Here is a 4,573-nt window from a genome sequence, read left to right on the forward strand (position 1 = left end):
CTCTCCCATGCAGGAATTTTTAATATAAGTCATTAGATAGTAGTTCCTTAAAAAAAGGTTGATAAGTTTCTGCAGCTGAGATCCTTGGAGCTCCCCTGGTTTCTAGCCTTCCAGGGGTCTGATTTCCAGCTCTTTCTTCAGTCCTAGGATTGTTGACTATCCTTTCAATAAATCTCCATTTCTTGTTTAAGTACTCATAGTCAATTTCTATTACTTCTAGACTTAGAATTCTCTCTGATGTAACTTGGTTCCCAGGGAGGCCAGTTTCTCCCCTGCCCATTTAGAATAACTAGAATAAATCCTTCTTTTTGGAAAGAACAAAAACATACTATCTTGGAAACAAATAAAATATTCCTTTATCGATCAGTTGCTCTACTCCTGATCCAACCTTCTGGGCTGCCTTTTATGCAAGAAGCACCATGGGTTCTGTCTTGTTTTTATATTCAACCTCATTCCCATCTTCTTAGGCTATCTCTGAGAGAAAGAGTCAGGAACATGATTCCTTAAAGAGGTATGTATATTTGGGAACCCAGGCAAACAGAAGCTACCTTCACTTAGCCAAAGAACCCTTTTTACAGCAATATAAAACAGACTTCATTCCTTGTGTAAGAAGGGCCTATATTCAACCTAACAGTGTATCTCCCAGGCTTATGCCTGGTGTCCCAGTTTCTAATGATGGACTTACTCTCTCCCCTTGGATCAGCACTCCTCTTCATAGAGAAGCCTTACTGAGGGTGTTGTTCTTGATTCTCCCAAGACCTTAAGTTCCAAGGCATTTATCTCCTCTCAACGCTCTGACTCATTATTCTATTTTACTGAAGTACTTAGAATGAGAGCTTTTGGGAAGAGCTCTATACAATTATATAAATGAATAGGCACATTTATTTGAAATGTTTTCAGATTTCTTAGAATAAAATTTTATGTTCTTTCCTTGGCACTAATTTCTTAAAGTGGGTAGCAGTCCTGGAGGATATCCTTGCCCAATTGAGGGGCATTTATAAGGCAATCTAAAGACAAACCAATAGATATCAGTTCATTTTGCCAATAGTTGTTAAGCACCTACTCCACACCGGGCATTGTGCTGAGAGCTGGGTACACAGTGGTGAGGAAAACAGACACAGTCCTACCTTCAAAGATGACACAATGTAGCAGAGAAGAGAGAAGAAAATAAGTCAATAAACTCAAAAATAACCATAAATGAGTGATTAGTGCTATGAAAGAAATGAACAGGAAACAATGATAGGCAATAATAGGAGGGAAACTTCTCAAATGAGAGAAGGCAGATGAGGCTCTCTGAGGCCTGAAGGATAAGGAGTGAGTGGTACAGGAACCAGCTGGATGGAATAGCATAGATGAGACCTGGAGGTAGGAAAGAGGTTCATGTGTTTAACGAACTAAGTGGAGCAGGGAAATGGAGAGGAGAGATGAGGGGGAAAAGAGAGTTGGGGCCATGTACAGAGTTTGGATTTTACATTAAACATAGTGAAAATATAGTAACTTTGGAAAACAATGTGACAGTTTCTTTAAAAGTTAAATATAAATTTACTACATAGCCCAGCAATTCCACTACTATTTACCCAAAAGAAATGAAAACATGTGTTTACACAGAGACTTATACATGAACATTCATAGCAGCATCATTTATAATAGTCCAAGATTGGAAAAAAAATTAATTGTCCATCAATAAGAGCATAGACAAATAAATAGTGGTATGTCCATAAAATGGATTACTGTTTGTTAGGCAAATAAAAAAGGAACAGACTACTATTACAAGACAGCCTTGTGTTCACTAGTGCCTACTTGGGTGTATATAATCATGAAAACTCACTGAATAGACAAAATAAGATTTGCACATTTTATAGTATATAAATTATATTTCAATATGAAAAGTGTAATGGGAAGTTGCTGAAGAGTTTTCAAAGTAAGGAAAAAATGTAATTTGATTTTTTTTTTACAGATTCCTCAGATCACTTTGTGAAAATAGATTTGAAGGGAGCTTAAGAACAAGTAGGGTGACCAGTAAAGGGGTTAATGCCATAGTCCAAGAAAAAGATTCTGAAGGCTTAGACTAGTGAGGAATAACAGAAGCCAACAGACAGACTTAAGATATACTTAGGAGATAGAAATGACAGGATTTATTGATTTTTTAAAAAGATGAGGTGTAAGAATCACTTGAACCCAGGAGTTTGAGACCAGCCTAGGCAACATAGCAAGAACCCCTCTCTACAAAAAAAAAAAAAACAAACCAAAAAGACATTGAATTAGCCAGGCAAGGCGGTGTGCATCTGTAGTCCAAGCTACTTAGCAGACTGAGGTGGGTGGATCTCTTGAGCCCAGGAGGTCAAGGTTGCAGTGAATTATGATAGCACCACTGCACTCCAGCCTGGACAACAGAGAGAGATTCTGTCTCAAAAAAAAAAAAAAAAAAAAAACAACAACAAAATGAAGAAATAAAGGATAAGACTTACATTTTTGGCTTGAGCAAGTGGGTGGAGAGTCTTGCCATTTACTAAAATGAATAGGTAAACTATGAGAGGAGCTGGTTGAAGATACTACAGGGGAAAGAAAATCAAGAGTTCTGTTCTGGCATTGAAAACACATGAATATAAAGATATGAACAACAGACATTGAGGACCACAAGAAGGAGGAGGGAGTGAGGGCAGCAAGGGCAGGTAGAAAGTTGGATATGTGTATCTAAAGGTCAAAGGAGAGATTGATCTGGATATATAAATTTAGACAACATCAGCATGCAGATGATATCTTGGGCCATGAAAATAAATCATTTAGGAAGAGAGTGCAGACAGAATAAGCACTGTAAAAAAAAAAAAAAAGCAATATGTAGACATTGGTACAGGAAGAGCACCTATAAAAGAGACTGGGATGAAATTGTCAGAGATCTAGAGAAAGGAAGAAAACCAAAGGTGGACTGTCAAATAAAGGAGTGGCCACTGGGATACAACTCAAGTGAGAAACTGAGCAAAATGAGAGTATAAATTGTCCATTGGACTTGGCAACCTGGAGATTGTTGGTAACCTTGACACAAGAAGTTTGGGTGAAGTGTTAAAGTCAGAGACCCAACTCGAGAGTCTGAAAACTAATTAAAGGCTTAAACCATGGAACAAGTATGTAAACAGCTATTTTGAGATGTTAAACTGTGAAGCGATGCAGAGAAATGGGCAGTAGCTGAAGAGGGATGAAGGAATCAAAAAAGGACTTTTAGGCTTAAGGGAATGTCAATCGTGTTTGTGAACTGAAGAGACTAGCCCTAGAGAAGAGGGTAGGATTGGTAATTTAGGATGAATAGGAGATAGCCAGAGGAGTAAAACCTTGAGAAGGTAAGAAAGGACAGGATCTAGAACTCCAGGAGTATCCAGCTCCAGGAACTGGGGTGGGAACAGCATATTTTCACCTTTATACCAGAAGGACCAGAAGCAGAAGACCCAAATGAACTCAGATGTAAGCTAGGGGCATTTATGGCTGATGGTTCTAATTTTTTTAATTAAATACAATTGAAACAGGATAATTAGATCAGAGTGAAGGGTGCAGGAATGGAGTAGGGAATTTGAGAAGATAGGCAAAGGTAGGAAATAGCATCCTAAATGATGGAAAAGCAAGTTTATTAACTACAGTTTGAATACCAAGTGGTGGGTTGAGATTATGCATTTAAAAAGAAGCTTCTCAGTTTGTGTGATTTTCTCCAGCAACATACAGTTGCTCAAATTCTGGCAGGTAATGGGTTGAGTACATTCAGCTTGGAGTTTTGCCAAGTGAGTATGACAGCTATAGAGAGAGACACAGAATGACTGAACAAGTGATGAAAACTGTGGACCATATAAAGAATGCTCGACAGAAGGAACATGTTGACAAAAGGGCAGGTTCTCACTCGATTTCCAGTCTCTGGATCTGGGCTTCCCTTCCCTTCCATCTCCCCACAACCACACACACTGCATTTGGATACATGTATGCCTCTCTCTATTCTAACTGGAGGTTGGAAGAGAGATTTAATCAGCTCCCAGCCCAGCTTCTGGAGTGAAGTCTTGGTCTCCTCTGACTTACAGATGCAGATTCAGCATACAGTACTGAGCACCTCTGAACCCATCCCCGTGCCCAGATTGAAACTTCATGTGGTACCCTGGTTCAAAGAACAGGGCTATCATCACCTAGAACCCCTTTCTCAGACCTATGCTTCCATAAAGTAGAGACCCTCAAACTAGTGGCTAGAGTTCTCCTGCCTGCCACCAACCTTCTCACATCAGGGCCTCCCCACCATGGTCCTTTTTCTGCCTCTCATGTCACCAGCTCTCTCTAAAGGAGAAAACACTGTAACATGATTGGTCAGAACCCAAACAATCAATGGACCATATTTTACTAATAGGCTTGATCAGTTTTGTAGGTGGTGTTTTGTTTCCTATTTGACCATTGTTCCTTGTGGGCACCTTCCTTAGAGAATAATCTAGTGGGAAGAAGGGTTGGCATCTAGGCAGGCCTGTGTTCCTGGCCATCATGTCATTATAGCAGAACCCAAAGCTCACTTTGACTCCTCAACCACCCAACAACCTACCAGGATTCCTGG

The 4,573-nt window shown here is 39.6% G+C and overlaps 1 non-coding gene across 1 annotated transcript; it reads right to left on the reverse strand.

The window, feature by feature from the left end:
• Nucleotides 1-4,272: 4,272 nt before the first annotated feature.
• Nucleotides 4,273-4,344, reverse strand: MIR4299 (microRNA 4299). Its single transcript, NR_036184.1, has one exon. It is a non-coding gene; the product is annotated as a microRNA 4299 (primary transcript).
• Between the last annotated feature and the right edge of the window lie 229 nt (nucleotides 4,345-4,573).

This window comes from Homo sapiens, chromosome 11 (genome assembly GCF_000001405.40).
Source record: "Homo sapiens chromosome 11, GRCh38.p14 Primary Assembly".
Taxonomy (NCBI): Eukaryota; Metazoa; Chordata; class Mammalia; order Primates; family Hominidae; genus Homo; species Homo sapiens.